General features: G+C 40.9%; 1 protein-coding gene across 4 annotated transcripts in view, besides 2 other annotated features; it reads left to right on the top strand.

Moving 5' to 3' along the window:
* The window catches only part of GPR19 (G protein-coupled receptor 19), a 56,357-nt gene that overhangs the window by 9,639 nt on the left and 28,505 nt on the right, over positions 1-18,213 (top strand). For 3 of the 4 annotated variants that reach the window (XM_011520623.4, XM_011520624.3, XM_047428741.1), the window contains exon 2: positions 12,097-12,149. The gene's annotated coding sequence lies outside the window, so the exon portion shown is untranslated. Of the gene's footprint in view, positions 1-11,424; positions 11,544-12,096; positions 12,150-18,213 lie in introns of those variants that run through there. The other variant, NM_006143.3, reaches the window with a different exon arrangement.
* Positions 11,258-11,337: an enhancer, noted in NCBI's record as "active region_6020". NCBI's record gives its function as "activates an Ori minimal core promoter by ATAC-STARR-seq in GM12878 lymphoblastoid cells {active_cell/tissue: GM12878}" and the evidence as "EXISTENCE:reporter gene assay evidence [ECO:0000049][PMID:35858748]".
* Positions 11,518-11,677: an enhancer, noted in NCBI's record as "active region_6019". NCBI's record gives its function as "activates an Ori minimal core promoter by ATAC-STARR-seq in GM12878 lymphoblastoid cells {active_cell/tissue: GM12878}" and the evidence as "EXISTENCE:reporter gene assay evidence [ECO:0000049][PMID:35858748]".

The following is an 18,213-nucleotide window of genomic DNA, read 5'->3' as shown; positions in this document are numbered from 1 at the left end:
TCTTAGTCTTCAGTTTATACAAACTTCCATGTAAAACAAAACTGGAACCTACCCACTTGCTGTTCTTGACCAACTCTCTGAATAATTATCCACATTAATATTTGTTCATTTCTTCATTCATTAAATTTTTAATGAACCCTCACCAGATGCCAGACTCTCTGAGGACACAGCAGAGAACAAAGATAGCCAAAGTCCCTGCTGTCATGAAACAGAACTTACACTCAAGTGTGGAAGACAGACAATGGACAAATAAATAAGCATAATATGTCATGTTGCTGTAAGTGCTAACACGACAAATCAACTAATTAAGAGTACGGAGGGTAATGAAGGCAGATGCTGTATGAACAAGGAAGGACTTTTCAATAAAGTGATATTTGAGTAGAATCCTGAATGGAATGAGAGCATGGACCATGTAATTTTGTGTTGCAGGCACAGGAAATAGCAAATCCAGAGGCTCTGAGGTAGGAATGTGTCTGGGATAGTTGAGGGACAATAAGGGAACTAGTAAGCTGGAAACATGGTGAGTGGGGGCTGGGGAGTAGGAGATGAAGTCAGAGAAGAAGGAAGTAGAGACCCCAATCATGTAAACTTTATAAGCCATGGTAAAGGCTGGATTTTATGCCAATTGAAGTGCATCATCCTTGAGCATAGAGTTTTTTTACCTGACTTCGGGTAACTTTTGTCACTTTGCTGAGTAAGAAGTATTTCAAAGAGGCAAGAGAGAAGTAGGGAGACCATGTATTATAGTAGACTATACACTAATCCAGATAAGAGGTCATGGGCCTCAGACCAGGGTGGTAGCAGTGTACATGAAAAGAAGGGTAGAGAGTTGATAGTGTGTTTTTTGAAGATACAGCCAATGGGATTTGCTGAAGATTTGGAAATGGTCTGTGTGTGTGAGAAAGAGTTCATGATGACTCCAAGCAACTGAAGAAAGGTATGACCAGTTGCTGAGATAGGGTTGATTGAGAGATGAACAGATTTTGTTTGGGTCATGTTAAGTTTGAGATGTCCATAGACATCCAAATGGAGATGTCGAGTAAGCAGATGGATATGTGAGTTTGGAATTCAGGGCAGAAGGGTCTGTGCTGGAGATACACATTTGGAAATGTTTGGCATTCAGATGATATTAAAGCTATGAGACTAGATAAGAACACCAAGGGAGTGGGTTTAGATGTAGAAAAGAGCTAGGCAGTTAGCCTTAGGGTACTACAACTTTTAGAAATCAAGATGAGAAGTATCTAGATAAAGGAGATAGGGAAAAAGCCCTTAGTAGAGTGGAGGAGAGCCAAGAGAGAGGTGACCCAGGGATCAAGTAAAGAGAGTGTTCCAAGGAGGAAAGCATGATCAAATGATTCCAATGCCACTGATAGGTCAAGTAAGATAAACACTGAAAACTGACCATTGCATTTGGCCATCAAGTTCACTGATGACTTGATAAGAGGAGTCTTGGTAAAGATGTGAAAGCCTGACTGGTGTGAGTTAAAAAGAGAAAGTCATGTTATGCATGCTGTGTACCCACATGAATAAATTATGCACACACACTCCTAGTCTAAGCAGAGGGTAGATGGGTTCTGATCAGGAAACCAGTCTGGCAACAGGCCAGGCTGTGGCCAGGGGTGAGGGCTGGCTGACGGGGAAGCAAGCATATTAAAATGGTGCCATATATTGACTGCCTTTCTCTACTCTTTCATTGCCTGGTTTTACACTGTTTCCTTCAATATCTTTTCTTAACTGTCATAAAAAAATTATCATACTGGCCAGGCTTGGTGGCTCATGTTTCTAATCCCAGCAATTTGGGAGGTGGAGGCTGAAGAATCACTTGAGCCCAGGAGTTCAAGACCAGCCTGGGCAACATAGTGAAACCCTGTGTCTACAAAAAACACAAAAATCAGCTGGGTGTGTGGTGGTGTATGCCTGTAGTCCCAGCTACTGGGGAGGCTGAGGTGAGAGGATCTCTTGAACCCAGGAGTTCAAGGCTGCAGTGAGCTGTAAACATGCCACTGCACTTTTCAGCCTGGGCAACAGAGCGAGATCCTGTCTCAAAAAAAAAAAAATTGCCATGCTGACAAATGACCTTATCTTTAAAAGTAACCATTTTTGCAGGATATGCTAAGAGAATTAGCAAATAATTAGCTTTGCTTGTGAGTCTCTCATTTCAACTGGCAAATGTTCTGCTTAGAAAATCACTGTAGAACAGCATCTTCTGTTCCCACCATAATAGACTATCTTATTAACCAGATAAACAGTGTATGGCTTTATTATAAATTCTCAGCAATTTTTTTTTTCTGAGATGGAGTTTCGCTCTTGTTGACCAGGCTGGAGTGCAATAGCACGATCTCAGCTCACTGTAACCTCCGCCTCCCAAGTTCAAGTGATTCTCCTGCCTCAACCTCCCGAGTAGCTGGGATTACAGGCATGGGCCAAGATCGCACCACTGCACTCCAGCCTGGGTTAGAGAGCAAGACTCCGTCTCAAAAAAAAAAAAAAAAGATGCATTTCTATTTATTCTTGACAAAAAGCCTTTCCCAATGCTGTAATGATGGTGTTTTTCTCCAAACCTCGATAATCTGCTCGGATCTTCTATATTGGTGTATCAATTATATCTCCAATGTCAAATGCAATTTGCAATTAGTTGCCTTTTTCCATAACTCAGGATAAGATTGTTTGACCTAGAATGTTTCCAAGTAGTTTTCCTTCCCTTCCTTTACTGAAGAAACAGAAACATCCAAAATAGTTAGGCGCTCTGTGGCCACAGGAGGACAGAAGAGGATTAGTAATGAGATAGACTACCCTCCCCCAATTCGGAACATTCATGAAGCAGGAATGTAATTGACCTGCTGTGCTGTTTAAACAGCACAGGAGGGCAGCACAAGGCCAGAACTGTCAGCCCTAATCCTGCAACTATTCCAAACCACAACTGTATTTATAATCTGCTTTTCTAAATGCATACACAAGAGTTTTAATCCCCACCAAATTTAATTGAACTCTAAATTTGCATAGATTCTACCTATTCAACATTTTTATATCATTTTCATACACTACTCACACAATAATCTGAATTTAACAATTATTTTATGATAGTATTTTTTGTTTTTATTTTTCTGAGACAGAGTCTCGCTCTGTTGCCCAGGCTGGAGTGCAGTGGCACGATCTCGGCTCACTGTAACCTCTGCCTCTTGGGTTCAAGCGATTCTACTGCCTCAGCCTCCTGAGTAGCTGGGATTACAGACCTGTACTACCACACCCAGCTAGCTTTTGTATTTTTAGTAGAGGCAGGGTTTCACAATGTTGGCCAGGCTGGCCTCAAACTCCTGACCACAAGTGATCCGCCCATCTCAGCCTCCCAAAGTGCTGGGATTACAGGTGTGAGCCACAGCGCCTGGCCTTATGATAGTGTTTTAACAGTTGTCTATACAGTCAAGTTAAGTATTACAACCCTTAACAAGTGAAGTAGAACAAAAGATCAAAGGTGACTTCTCTATAGTCACACACGATTGGTTGCAAAGTCAAGATAACAACCTAAACTTGATCCTTTTCCACTACACATAGCTCTTTCAGAAAGTGCTTCCCCCGCCACATACACACCAACACATACACTGTCTCTATGACTTACTCACTTTGACTTCAGATATAAATCTATTTAGTCTTTAATCTTTTTTGTATCCTCCAATGAAGCTAATCTAATGCTCTAAACAAAATAACCGCAAAGTAGGTAATTAGCACCCAGTAGATATGATTGGCAAGTACACCTGGTTCTAGTGAAGATCCCAGAGATGGCTCCCAGTGCACGGTATTAGGAATCCTAGACATGGCAGTCATGCAACTTATACAGTCTATAGCCCCTTCCAAGAGAAAAGTACTCCAACTCCAAGCCACTGGCTTGGGCTCCTAACTCAGCACTATGGTTTATGATGGGGCCTGGTACAGACTGCTCTACCCAAAAGAAAGAAAATGGTTATTAGCTAAGCCAAGAACTAGAACTAGGAAGTACAGTAAGAACTAGGAAGTACAGTAAGAAGAAAACAGACAGGTGCATTGAGAAGACATGTAGGGACCAGCAGAATCACTATGTGCTAGAGCGAGGGGCCATAGGCTTCTATGGCAAAGATGTCTAGAATTCACAGACCTTGGGAATCTTTGATTACCATTTACCTGCGAACCTTTCAAGGTCCCATAGTTTGGCTTTTCATGTCCTATGGCTAAGATTCCTGTTACACACACGAACACGCACTCACGCATACTCCATATACTACTTGTGGTAAAAAGTGAGACTGTGTCTCACAATCAATAGACCTTACCCAACCACCAATGCCACAGACATAGAGGCAAGTTGAAATTAGGTAATAGATCCTTTCCACGTCCAATATAAGGGTAATCTAACCTCAGCCAAGCTCATTTGGAACATGTGATACTTGACCCCAGGTGTACTTCATTCACTCAATATGTATCCTTTATTACCTACAATGTGTCAGGCATTGTGCTGAGTGCTAGAGTTACAGAGACAAACAAGCACCAGAAACAAATAAGACAAAGTCTCTATTTTTGTGGGGCTCCTAGCTCTGTGGGAAAAGCTGGAACATCATACAAAAAAAGGAAATAAATTATAGAAAATTTAAGGAAACTGTATACTGATTGCCTAAACGGTAGATTCTCTTTTGCACTTAAGTCATCCTAACAGCTCTTCTATCCAAGTTCAGTTTATCAGTCATGATGAGATTCATGTCAGTATACGGTACATCCAAGTGAAAAGACCAGAACAAAATTAAATCATCATTTTTTAACACCTTTATCACTGGGGTGTAGAATAGTGTAATTAGAGGGCCAGGATTAATAAGTTCATTATGACCATTATTTAACAGGAATGCTGCGTTCTCAGGACTTTAAATGTGACTATGATGTTTTAGATTTAAGTTGAACATCCCTTACTGGTTTGTTTTGAGTGATTCTCAAAGCAGAGAAATAATGAAAACTGGTTTAAAATAGAGAAAAAAAACGAGAAGGCACTGAGTAAAAGGAGAATGGAGATCCAGAAAACTAGGGTCTTTTAAAATGAGTCATCACCGTAAGGATCTAGATTTATCACAGGTCTATATTTACCATGGATTTAATCATAATTACTGAAACTAATTTTTTAAAAAACCCACCAGTACATACTCTAACATGTTTAGCCTGACTTTGTAACACTATTTTACAGAGTATTCTGTTGCACTTTTTTAAAGCACTAGAGATGTGAGTCAAATACCAACTTGTATTTAGAATTTTAGAAATATTCTATCTAATCTGTTATTCTATTCCTAATAGAATAAGATTCTATTAATATTTTAGAAATATTATATTATTTATTCTATTCTATTCTATTAGTATTCTATTATTTTAGGATACAGCACAATTAAATTCAACAAATATTTAGTTGTGCCTAATTTGTACAAACCATAAGGCTAGTCATCAGAGGAATTTTGAAAAGTGAATAAAATACAATCACTGTCTTCAGTGGGAGGAGCTTTATTCTACATATGCAAATTAAAAATATTATTCTACATATAAAAATCAGACAATAACATAAACATAAGGCCAAATATGTGTTCTATAAAAAGATGATGCAAGCAAAATGCTTATAGGAGAGATCAGGAAAAGATTTACTGAAGAGACAGCCTTTGTCCATTCTTTTTTTTTTTTTTTTTTTTTGAGACAGGGTCTCACTCTGTCACCAGGCTGGAGTGCAATGCCATGATTATGCCATGACCTCTTCAGGCTCAAGCAATTCTGCCACCTCAGGCTCCCAAGCAGCTAGGATGACAGGCACGCACCACCACACCCAGCTAAAGTTTTCATATTTTGTAGAGCCAGGATTTCGCCATGTTGCTCAGGCTGCTCTCAAACTCCTGGAGTCAAGCAAACCTCCTGCCTTGGCCTCCCACAGTGCTGGAATTACAGGCATGAGCCACCTGGCCTGGCCTTTGAAATGGTTCTTTAGAACTCAATGGATTTTAGCTGGGAGAAAGGGGTAATTGAGTAAATCAAATGGGGCGATTAACTAAATGTTAACTTGGTGAATAGAAAGGACACTGTCCAAAATATCCCATAATTGGGTACCAACTCTTTGAAATTATAGGATTAGGATTTTCTCTCCCTTTTGTCTACTGGCAGTCCTATCTCCCACAATAAAAGCTTTATATGCCAGATATAGTCATTATTAGCTAATGGGCAAGCAACAAATGGGGAGATAATGTTAATATAATTCAGAAATTACATTGCTTCATTCATTATTTTTCCCAGCACACTAACATTTTGGGGCAAGCAGGGACAAGCTTCTCACAATTAAAGAGAAAACCTTAGCAACATATAAAGATGTTAAGAAAAAAAGCAGAAAATTCTGCAAGAATGCCTTCCTTTGGTGCAAACAGAGGCTTGTTTGGTGGCTTCAAGAGTTTTTTACAACATTAAGTTCTGTGGTAAACTGCAAAGTGTAAATGAAGGTGCAAAACCATTTTACCCCATTGGGGGAAAACTGATTGATAAAAAAGACAAAATCCTCGATCGGATTTTTAATTTTGATGAAACTGCTCTTAATTGGAATTAATACCCTCAAGGGCATATACATCCAAGGAAGAATCATGTGCCCCAGGATTCAAGAAACTAAAGCAGCACTGTCCAACAGAAACATTCGACAATTTAGGTTTTCTGGGAGCCACATTTTTAAAAAGTAAAAGTAAAAAGAAATGTTGAAGTGACATTTCAACATGTAATCAATATAAAATTTATTGAGATTTTTACATTATTTTTTATACTAAATTCTTAAAATCTTATGTGTATATTTTATACTTAACAGCCCTTCTCAATTTGGACTATCACATCTAAGTGTTCAATAAACACAGATGGCTAGTTACTACTGTATTGGACAGCATGGCCCTAAAGGATGACTGTGATATTGAGTACAAGTGTCAGAGGGAATTTAATTGTGTATTTTTTATTAGCATAGTAATTTTTATAGCCCTCAACTAACAAAGTTGCAAAGGTTTTGAGTGACCTGCTTCTAACCCTATATTTCCCACAAGTCCTGTTATTTTTAGTGCACCATTAAAAAAACATGCTTGTTTTCTCTGTACATACTTCCCTAAGCCTCCCTTGAAGCTAAAGGTAGTCATATGACATAGTTCTGGGCAGTAAGAAATAAAGGGAAGTCTGCAACATCATATGGGAAACATTTTTTGCCCTTATGAGAGAGTCTAACAAAACAACAACAACAACAAATAGCCAGGTGTGGTGGTGCATGCCTGTGATTCCAGCTTCTTGGGAGGCTGAGGTGGAAGAATCACTTGGGCCCAAGAAGTCAAGGCTGCATTGAGCCATAATCATGCCATTGCACTCCAACCTGGGCAACAGAGTGAGACTCTGTCTCAAAAAAAATAAAAAATAAAAAATAAAGGGACAGAGAGAGAGAGAAAGAAAGAGAGAGAAAAAAGAAGAGAGAGGCCTCAAGGAGAAAGCTTTTGGCCAGGTGCAGTGGCTCATACCTGTAATCTCAGCACTTTGGAAAGCCGATGTGGGAGGATCGCTTGAGGCCAGGTGTTCAAGACCAGCAGGAGCAACATGAGGAGACCCCATCTTTACAAAAAAAAAAAAAAAGAAAGAAAGCTTTTTTTGGCTCATACTCTCTTTTCTATTTGAAACATTTCATATGAGAACATGATGTTTGGAACTGCGGCAGCTATCTTGTGACTATGATAATAGACTCTTTAATACATTGAAGATAACAGACCATAAAGGTATCTCTCCTTATCAGAGATGTAAATGGAATGAAGTCAGCCATGCAAACATGCCAGTAGATGGAGGCAAGGGCAGAGTTCCCTAGCAGGAAGTAGAGTGCATCTGCTTCCTGTCCTCAGTGGGCATTATTTGACCAGTCACAAACCAAATTTGCCCTTCTTTCTCCCTTTTCCCCTCTCGTGCTGAAGATTCTCTTCCCTCTGATTGAAACACTGTTTTAGTGATGGGATCTTGCTATATTGTCCAGGCTGGACTTGAACTCTTGGGCTCAAGGGATATTCCTGCCTCAGCCTCCTGGGTAGCTGGGACTATAGGCATGGGCCTGTGCCAGCAGAAACATCCTTTCTTTAGGTATGACAAGAGTACTGAATTACCCCCAATACTTAAGACCTGAGTGCAGAGCTAAAAGTAAGCAAAATTTATTTGGCTTATTAGGGATTCATACACAAACCCTGCAATTTGGCCCTAATATGTATGTTTTCAATTTTTTTTTCTTGAGACAGAGTCTTGCTCTGTTGCCCAGGCTGGAGTGCTGTGGCACGATCTCGGCTCACTGCAACCTCCACCTCCCAGGTTCAAGTGATTCTCCTGCCTCAGCCTCCCGAGTAGCTGGGATTACAGGTGTGCACCACCACGCCCGGCTAATTTTTTGTATTTTTAGTAGAGACAGGGTTTCACCATGTTGGCCAGGCTGGTCTCAAACTCCTGACCTCATGATCCACCCACTGCAACCTCCCAAAGTGCTGAGATTACAGGCGTGAGCCACTGTGCCTGGCCAAATTCATTCTTTCTTTTCCCTGGAGATTAAGCTAATTTCAATGCTCATACTGACTGTGATAAACCAAATTTTTCATCTTCCCTATTCCCTATCTCCCAAACTGTTCCCTATGTATTAGTTAGGAGTGACTGTAGAATGCTATATAAAATGGGCTGGGCACAGTGGCTCATGCCTGTAATCCCAGCACTTTGGGAGGCCAAAGCTGGCGGATCACGAGGTCAGGAATTTGAGACTAGCCTGGCCAACATGGTGAAACCCCGTCTGTACTAAAAATACAAAAAATTAGCCGGGCGTGGTGGCACGCACCTGTAATCCCAGCTACTCGGGAGGCTGAGGCAAGAGAATCGCTTGAACCCGGGAGGTGGAGGTCACAGTGAGCCGAGATCAAGCCATGGCACTCTAGACTGGGTGACAGAGCAAGACCGTCTTGAGAAAAAAAAAATGCTTTAAGTTATCGATCATGAAAAAAATGTCCTATCATTCAGTTAATAAGGTTAAATTGTGTTGCTTTAACCAAGTTTGAGTAATTGGGGATGCATATCAGATTCATTATTTGGCAATTTCTTTCATTTGTCCTGGGGTCACAATAATTCGAGAACTCAGATTCACATAAATATGTGGATACAGATGGCATCAGGTTTTTCATTACTTTACAGTATCAGAGTAATCACAGGGGAGTATGCCCAGAATACTGGCTAAAGAAATGGCATGATTAACTTTTTCAGCTACTGACAGTGGAAATTTTGGTAAGTATATTTTCTGAGTCACGGGGCAGACTAAATTACCAATCCATCAGTCAGTTTCTGTTACTCACCAAAGATTTTTTTTCAGTGAAGAAAAATGTTTTATTTGACAACTTACTATTCTTACACTATAATTTTCATCACATGTAAATGAACTAGGAGTCTCAAAGAAGTCACTGTTCTTTATCAGCTCTTCCACTCCCATACTTAATTTTCATTCAAGCCTTCTCATTATGTGCAATGAGAGTATTCAGTTTGTTTAATACTGGTTGTTTGCCTTGACAAAGTAAGCCAGCTTTCTGAGTTAGTCTTAATCATTAAAGTGAACAAGATACCCATTCACTTTATCTGCATTTTTTTTTTCTTCATGATGAAAATGCCAGTTCAATACTGGCTTGGAAAACCGATTTTCACCTTACCTTAACCAAGTCAGAGTACCTCTAGATAATGGAGCGGAATTTTAAAGTTACTTCTCATTTTGGTACAAATTTGTGTTAAAAGGTATTCAAGCTGCTGGATTTACTGAGTTTTATCATATTGAACGTGAGAAAATCCAGAGGCTAGTTTCTTGAGATAAAAGGATTTTCTGTGACCGATGCTGGACACATGCAAAGCTTTCAAAATTTGGTTCCATCTGTTCACATGTCCATACATATTCTCTGCTTAATTTCATATGTCTTGAAAATCCCACTTTCCTTTTAGAAAATTTCTTGTTACAAGTTGAAGTCTTCAAATTCACCATTCAAAAACATAACAGAGTCCAATAAAATTGCCAAATTGTTAACATTTATGCTCTTATCCAGCTCTAAGATAACAATGATCCAGGTTTGGCTGAATCTACCAGTTATTTAAGGTTGTTTTTTGAGCACATTAAAATGTATCATTAGAAATCCTTCCATAAAAATACTTTTTAAAAAGTCACTTTGCCTGCCTTTTTTTTTGTTTTCAAACGAATCCAGTCATATCTGTAAAACAAGTTTCCATCAGATCTCATTTTATAAGCAACATCCTCTTCTAAGCCACCTGAAACTGACTTTGAAGAGCTCTTCAAACCATTTCAAAAATTTGTTTGTTGGCTTGTGCTTTCTTGGGTTAATGCTTCTAGAGTCGTCTCCAAGTTTCAAATTTTGCATGGCTGCTTTTTTTTTTTTTTTTTTTTTTTTACTTCGCTTCAAGAGTCAGTCTTAAATCATGTAGGTTTTGCTTGAGGTTTGCTCGAGCAAGAGGACCTTAGGTTTGGTCTTATTTGCATTTTTACCATAACTAGGCCTACATTCTAAATAAGTAACTAAATGCCACCTATGAGTTTCATTAACTGTGGCTGCTTGCCACTTTTTAGTTCTGGTTAGGGTGGTGCTATTGTTTTCCTCAGGTTCATTAGAAACATCTTCCGTGACAGCTCTGACGCGGCACCGATTTCTGAGTGTCCAGTGTTTTCCCTACCATTATTTTCTTTGGTCTGAAGTTGACACTTAAACTGTCCAGTTTTAAACCTCCGATCCGTGTTCCCAAATGAAAACATGACTTTCATTACGAATTACACGTCAAGGGAGCAAACCAAGGCGCTCGGGGCGGCGAGAACCGCGACACAGCGCTTCGCCTGGACTGGTAAACAAACCGCCGCGCAGGCGCAATGGCAACAGGACGGTAACCTGGGTAGCCGCCAATGGGCTTTTTCGTAGAGTGAAAAGCGGAAAAGCCAAACAAAACGCTGGTTCCAAGGTGATAAACTGGCTGACTTCCTCTATTTTTACTTTTTTAAAAAATTTTGTTTCTGAAGAAGTAGTTGTGCGGCCTTCTGGGCCTCGCAGAGATCTTCTTCGTGGAATTCCTCGGCCCCAGAGAAATGCCGCTAGCCTGTCGGCTAGTTATATTAGCCTAATTTTTTGTCTTGATCTTTTTCATTTGACTGCAGCACTAATCCTAATCCACTGGGGCAGCAAAAAAAAAAAAAAAAAAAAAAAAAAAAAAAAAAAAGGGCGGGTGGGATCTCAACGCCACGGAAAACCTTCATACTAGCCGGCCATCACCAAACCACGCGAGATCTGCCTGAGGAGAAGCGCCACCCCGGGAGTGCACGTTTGCGCATGCGTCTGGCTCATCATTTTTAGCGCGCAAAAGTTTCAAAACTTTCCGCCTAGTGAGAGGCGGTCCGATTTGGCCCTTGGGGAGTGTCCGTCGCGTTGATCTGATGGATTCACGTACACAACACCACATTCTATGAGATTTTGCAGGCAAAAGTCCACAAGCTCGTATGGTCATCCCTTCTTTCCGTTTTTATATTGGCCGTGAACTCTGTGAGGGGAGGTTTCAGCGACTGAAGTAGTAAAGGAGTGGGAGCGGGAGAGCCGATTAATGAGGTTGTAGAATAAGAGAGAAATCTGAAGGGACAAAGGAGTTTTATTTATTTTTTGGCTGGTGACCAAGAGGATGTGAGTGTGAGCTAAGGTAATACAGTGGGAAGGAGAAGATGGGAAGATTTGAGAGATAAATGAAGGCAGTAGCTCTGTAGCCTACCTGGGAGGCCAGACTAGAAAGAAGTTGACAGTAGAGGACATTTTTCTTAAAAGAGTGTGAACTTATGCATGTTTGTAAACAGGCAGAAATGGCATGCATTTAGTACATGGTGTATATAAGGTGGAAATCGGGACGCCCCTAATGGAATGGAATGAGGAAGATTCTAAAAGCCACAGTCCTGAACACAGGCCGAGGTGGAATTGCGAAGAACAGTCGCGGTAACAGAAGTCAGGAATTTGGGAACTGTCTCGAGGGATCTGACCAATCTGACCTCTTTTTGTCTCTCAGGATATATGGGACACCTGCACCGGCATTGGATTTGGCCCCGCAACATCTTAAAGGTACCACCCAACACCTGAAGTGTCTGCCTCCTTCCGATGGAGCCTCCTGGCCCCTCCCACCTCTCACCAGCTTTACCCTTTAGCCAGAATGAAATGTGGATTTCATGGAATGAAATGGTGGCATTTAGCTACCACATTACTCAGATGTGTCACTGACACCTTACAGAAGTACATACTTCTAGCCTCTAGCCTCCCAGTTCACTAGATATTAGAGTCCATCTTGATATCGGCAGCAATTCTATGCCACTTAGCTACTATAATTTGATTCTTTGTATACTATCTGGAGTACAAGGCAGAAGAATGCTGATGGAATACGTAATTTTACTCCAACAAAGGAATGGCTGATAGGTAAAGAGTATCACTTCATCTGTAAGAAAAACTAAATATGGAAAGCCACAGGATTGAAGCTAGCAGTGATGGAGAAGGATCCCAGTGTGAATATATAGAATGGAAGTACTTCAGTAAAGAGCCAGGCATGGTAATCACTTACCAAGAAAGTGACTTCATTTCATTTTGGCAGCCTAAAGTATATCCTGGCAGCTGCGCTGTATGTGTGAAGTGCATAGGAAAATGCTGCAGGAAAAATCCATGGAGGCAATGGAATAGGATTTCAGGGTTGAAGCCTGGGTGTCTTGTTTTAGGGAGTGGGATCATCCAGCTCTGAGAGGCATGACATCTCGATATGATGTCATATAAAGTGTGTACAATTGGGAATCAGACCTGGGCTTTGACTTTAGGGTCTGCCAGTCACTCTGTGTGTCCTGTCTGAATCTCAGTTTCTCAATTTATAAAATAAGGATAATAGTGCCTGTGCCATAGGATTATTGTAATGACAAAATGAGGTAGCATAGAACTTAGTGTAAAGTACATGCCACCTATCAGTTGAATTGTGGATGCTCTGTGCATCGTAGGTCCGTCTGTATTTAGGGAGCTTTAAGACAGGTACTCTACCGGGTCAGGCGCGGTAGCTCACGCCTGTAATCTCAGCACTTTGGGAGGCTGAGGCGGTCGGATCACAACGTCAGGAGATCGAGACCATCCTGGCAAATACGGTGAAACCCCGTCTCTACTAAAAAAAAAAAAATACAAAAAATTAGCCGGGCGTGGTGGTGGGCACCTGTAGACCCAGCTACTCCAGAGGCTGAGGCAGGAGAATGGCGTGAACCCGGGAGGCAGAGCTTGCAGTGAACCGAGATCACGCCACTGCACTCCAGCCTGGGCGACAGAGCGAGACTCCGTCTCAAAAAAAAAAAAAAAAAAAAAAAAAAAAGACAGGTACTCTACCATGCCCACACATTAGAATCACCTTGGGAGCTTAAAAAAATCCTAATGCCCTGGCTTTTCTCTATACCAATTAAATCAGAATCTCTGCGAGTGGAGCCCAGACATCAGTACTTTCTTAAAACCCTCCATTTTGCAACAAAGGTTGAGAGCCACTGCTTTAAGAGTTCCCTCTAGGGCCAGGCACGGTGGCTCACGTCTGTAATCCCAGCACTTTGGGAGGCGGAGGCGGGGGGATCACGAGGTCAGGAGCTTGAGACCAGCCTGGCCAACATGGTGAAACCCCATCTCTACTAAAAATACAAAAATTAGCTGGGTGTGGTGGCACGCGCTTGTAATCCCAACTACTCCGGAGGCTGAGGCAGGAGAATTGCTTAAACCCAGGAGGCAGAGGTTGCGGTCAGCCGAGATCGTGCCACTGCACTCCAGCCTAGGTGATAGAGCAAGACTCCGTTTTGGAAAACACGTTTGGAGGAATGAAGTTTAGAGCTTGAGACAGGCAGATAAGTAGGGCATCATGAGCTCTATTCAGGAGGAAGGCCACTGTGATAAGAATGGGGTTAACGTACTAATTTGGGAAAGGTCATTGATAAAGCCATTAGTATAATTGCCAGGATACACAGGCTTAGCTGTAGAGATAGAAGAGTGTCAGTCTCCCAAGCTGGTCTTTTGATCTAGCACAGGCAACACAGATAATGATGTCTTTATTGCATTACACATGGTGAATCTTGGGCCATCAGCAGGGCTGATGGCAGTAGTGGGTTGGGGCGGATCTTTACAACCTGCAATACCTCATTGGTTGGGGAGGGCATCAAGGCATGATTGAAATGTGTGTTCTTTTCCAATGAGAGGCTGCTGTACATGGGAATGCATGTGCAGCAGGGCATTGATAATGAAGTGTTTTCCGGTAGCCTATCAGGGTTGATGTGGCAGCTCTGACCACACAAGTGGTTTTGTTATTATTAACAGATGAGAAAGGTGAGGTTCAAGCCTGTCTTTGTAGCCTTTCAGGGAACACAGAATCACTTGGAATACAAGTGGCATGGTCAGCAATTTCAGCTTCTAAGAGACAAGTTACTTGCTAGTAGGACAATTCTGGTTTCTAGGTTTATAAATAACTCAGAAGTTGAAATCACCATACTACTTTAGTTATTGAATATAAGACAAAAAAGGTAGTGATAATGGCCAAGAATATCTTTTGCCACATGAAGTTACCTGTCTTTAATTGGGTTCCTTTTCTTGAAAAGCAGGCACACATGAGTGACAGAGAATCTTCCTGGGACCGATAGGAATGCTAGACAGATTGGTCTCTGTCTTTAAAGGTTTTTATGGGTTAGAGTGAGCCAGGACTAGAGCCAAAGACAAGTAATGCTTCAGTTTCTTAAGGGCTTTTTCAGCTGCTGGAGGCCAGTAGTACTTTTGCTCAGAAAGCAAAGGAGAAAGGGGCTTAAGCCCAGTTGGAGAAAAAAAAAAACAAAAAAAACAACTATAATTAGGTCTTTTGTGCTTTGTGGATATCAAATACCTGTTGGACCTTTTTCAGAAACTTTCATATTGTACCAGTATGGGGTTCTGGTTCTATAAATGAGGGTATCCAGTCCGTCTTTCTTTCTGCCTCTTTTTGGGGTACAAGAAATTAAATTTGAGTCAGGCGCAGTAGCTCACGCCTGTAATCCTAGCACTTTGGGAGACCAAAGCAGAAGGATCGCTTAAGCCCAGGAGTTCAAGACCGGTCTGGGCAACATGGCAAAACCCCGCCATTAACCTGGCTAATATTACAAAAAAAAAGACAAGAGAAGCCAGCAGCGAGTCATCACTGGACCTGACCAAGATGACCACTCAAAGAGAGGAATAGACTTCAGCAGGGAAAAGCTAAAGGTCTTTCTGGAGTTAGATAAGTGGCCAGCTGGTCAAAGGAGCTATAGTTGAAAAATTCATAGAAGTAGAGTTTTGTCCCCCTAAACCCACGTAAGTGCCCATTGAGATAAGGAATCAGTCTTTAATACCTGTGAGGTACAGGGAAACTGATGGCAGCTCATGTTAGTACCAACAAAGTAAGACGTATTGCTCATCCTCCTCTCAAACCCTGGAGGGATCAGAAACTAGGAGGGGCAAGATCTAAGGAAACAAGTCAGGAAAAAAGAGAAGTGGCCACACTGTTTTGTTAAATCTACTACAGAAGGCACAAACTGGGAGGAGGGAGAAATGCCTAAACTAAGTCAGGTGCCAACTTTTGATTGTTATATAGGACTGGATATTTTAGTTATTAACATCTCTTAACTAAAAATGACCAGAAAAAGTAATGGGACCACCCAAGTTTTAATTCAGGGATAAGAGAAGAACCAGCCTTGCAACCAGACACCCTTGAAGGGTGTTTTCAAAGGGACAGTGGAAAATGAAAATTAGGTGGTTTTAGGTTAATCTCAAAAGTCATGCTTATTCAGTGTGCTGGTACACTGTCGCTGAGCACCTACTTTGCTGTTTTAGATCCTAGAGGTATAAAGATGAATTGGATGACATCCACCTTACAAGAATCTATGAAGTCAATGCAATATGACATATGCAATCGTATAAGTAGTATATATGAAAATTAAAGTACTATGGTGAAAAGGAAAATGTGACTAACTTATTTTGGAAGGATACAGAGTGGGAGAGAAATAGAACTACAGATAAGATAAAACCCAGCAGGGTTTGAAAAGAGGAGTAGATGTTCACAAAGAGGACAAGGCAGAGAAACTGTCAAGTCTAAGCCACGGAGGCAATACAAGCAGTGTGAAGGGCATGCTTGTTCAGCAGGTGACTCAAATGGAGGTGAAATGGAGGTCACAGGGGTTGAGTTTAGACCAGAGCTATTGGCAGGCTCATTCTGGAAAGTTAACGGAATTTTAGAAACAGATGCACCAAGAGACCAGTCATTTCATCTATCAGTCATTCCTCCCTCTGTTTGACTTTGCCTTTTATAAAATTGACCAACAGCCCTTTTTATTTTTTTATTTTTTATTTTATTTTATTTTATATTTTTTAGTTTGGGATATGACCTTTATTGAGCTTATCCACCAGCGTGGAAATAATGTCTGTACAAAACCAAATGTTTGTTACTATAACTTCTGCATCACAATTAAAATCCAAAGAGTTATTTAAAAACAGTCAACTCAATCAAAACCCACTACTTCAGAATCCATATTTTCTTTGAAGCCACAGTAACACTTATATATGGTTAAGACTCGAATGCAGAAATTTGGTTGATTGGAAAGCTAATTAAACTTCCAACTTGCTCAAATAGAATTACAAAAAGGCAAAATTGCCAACAGCCCTTTTTAGAGAGTGCTGAGAAGATAGTATGGGAACTCTTCTCCATCCTGTTCTCCCAGCTGTTTGGATCTGGCTCTGTATCTGAGTTAGGCTGGGTCAAACAGACTCTGCCTCCTAAGAATTTAGAGTCAGAACATTGAGAGACTGGGTCACTCTGACAGAAGCATTGAATTTATAAGGACATGTGAATTTCAGATCCAAGGCCACCATTTAGGGGCAGCCATTTTGGGGCCAGTAATACAATAAGGGACAAGCAGAACTAGTTGATCTCAAGAGAAGCTGGTGAATGCAGCTAATGAAGAAACAGAGAGAATTGGAGGCAGTAGACCATGTGGTCTCCTAGAGAAAGAGAGTCAGTAGCTACCTTGGGTCTGACCACTTTCAGGACCCTTGTCTAATCTAACGTCTGGCTGCCACTTTTTGTTCTTGATTTCCCTGCACTTCCTCTGAGTCATAATAAATCCATCTCAACCTAAGGGGATTCATTTTTCTCCTTAGACAACAGTGTTATGTGCCTAATTATGTTCTCCCCTTCTTAATGTTTTTTGTCCTAATAAAACCATGTATCTTCCACATTAGGAATACACATATATAGCAAAGACACTTATTTAACTCGCTACAGATATCTCATGAAAATGTAGGTCCTTTATTTTGTCTAGAGTTTTCACCTATTAGTCATCTATTACCGCATAACAAAATTCCCTACAGTTTAATATCTTGGAAGAATAATATCAAGTTCAACAGAGCTTAAAAAAGAAAACAAACAAACAAAAACATTATGTCATAGTTTCTGTGGATCAGGAATTTGGGAACAGCTTAACTAGGCCATCTGGCTTCGGGTCTCTCACAAAGCTGTAGTTGAGATGTTAGCTAGGGGTATGGTCACTGACTAGGGCTGGAGAATCTCCTTCCAAGGCAGCTCACTCACAAGGTTGGCTAGTTGGTGCTGGTTGGTGAGAAGCCTCGGTTTGCTATGTGTGGGCCTCTTCACAAGGCAGCTTGAGTTTCCTTATGACGTGGTAGCTGGCTTGCCCAGAGTAAGTAATCCAAGAAGGTGAGAGCCAGGTAGAAACTGTCACAGAATCACTTCTGTCACATTCTATTTATTAGAAAGAAGTAACTAAGTCTAGCCCACATTCAGGGGGAGGTGGATTAGGTTTCACATCTAAAATCTAATGTGGCAGCCAGACCTTAGATGCATTCTTTGAAGGCATATCAAAGAATTTGTGGATGTATTTTAAAACCACCACAACCTGTTAGGTTACAGGAAAAAAAAAAAGTGTCTAATCCTGTTTCAAATATAGTTCAATTCATTCAGTTCCTTTAGATAGTATTAGTATCCTATGGATGAAATGTTTCATCTTTCATAATACCTCCCAAAGAGGTCCTGTCACTTTTTTCTGTAGATGACTTTCATTTGTTTGGGGGGAAGTGGGGGTATAATTACATATCCTTGTGGCACTGATGAGAG

This window comes from Homo sapiens, chromosome 12 (genome assembly GCF_000001405.40).
Source record: "Homo sapiens chromosome 12, GRCh38.p14 Primary Assembly".
NCBI lineage: Eukaryota > Metazoa > Chordata > Mammalia > Primates > Hominidae > Homo > Homo sapiens.
Note: the sequence above shows the minus strand (reverse complement) of the source record. Positions and strands in the feature narration are given on the sequence as shown.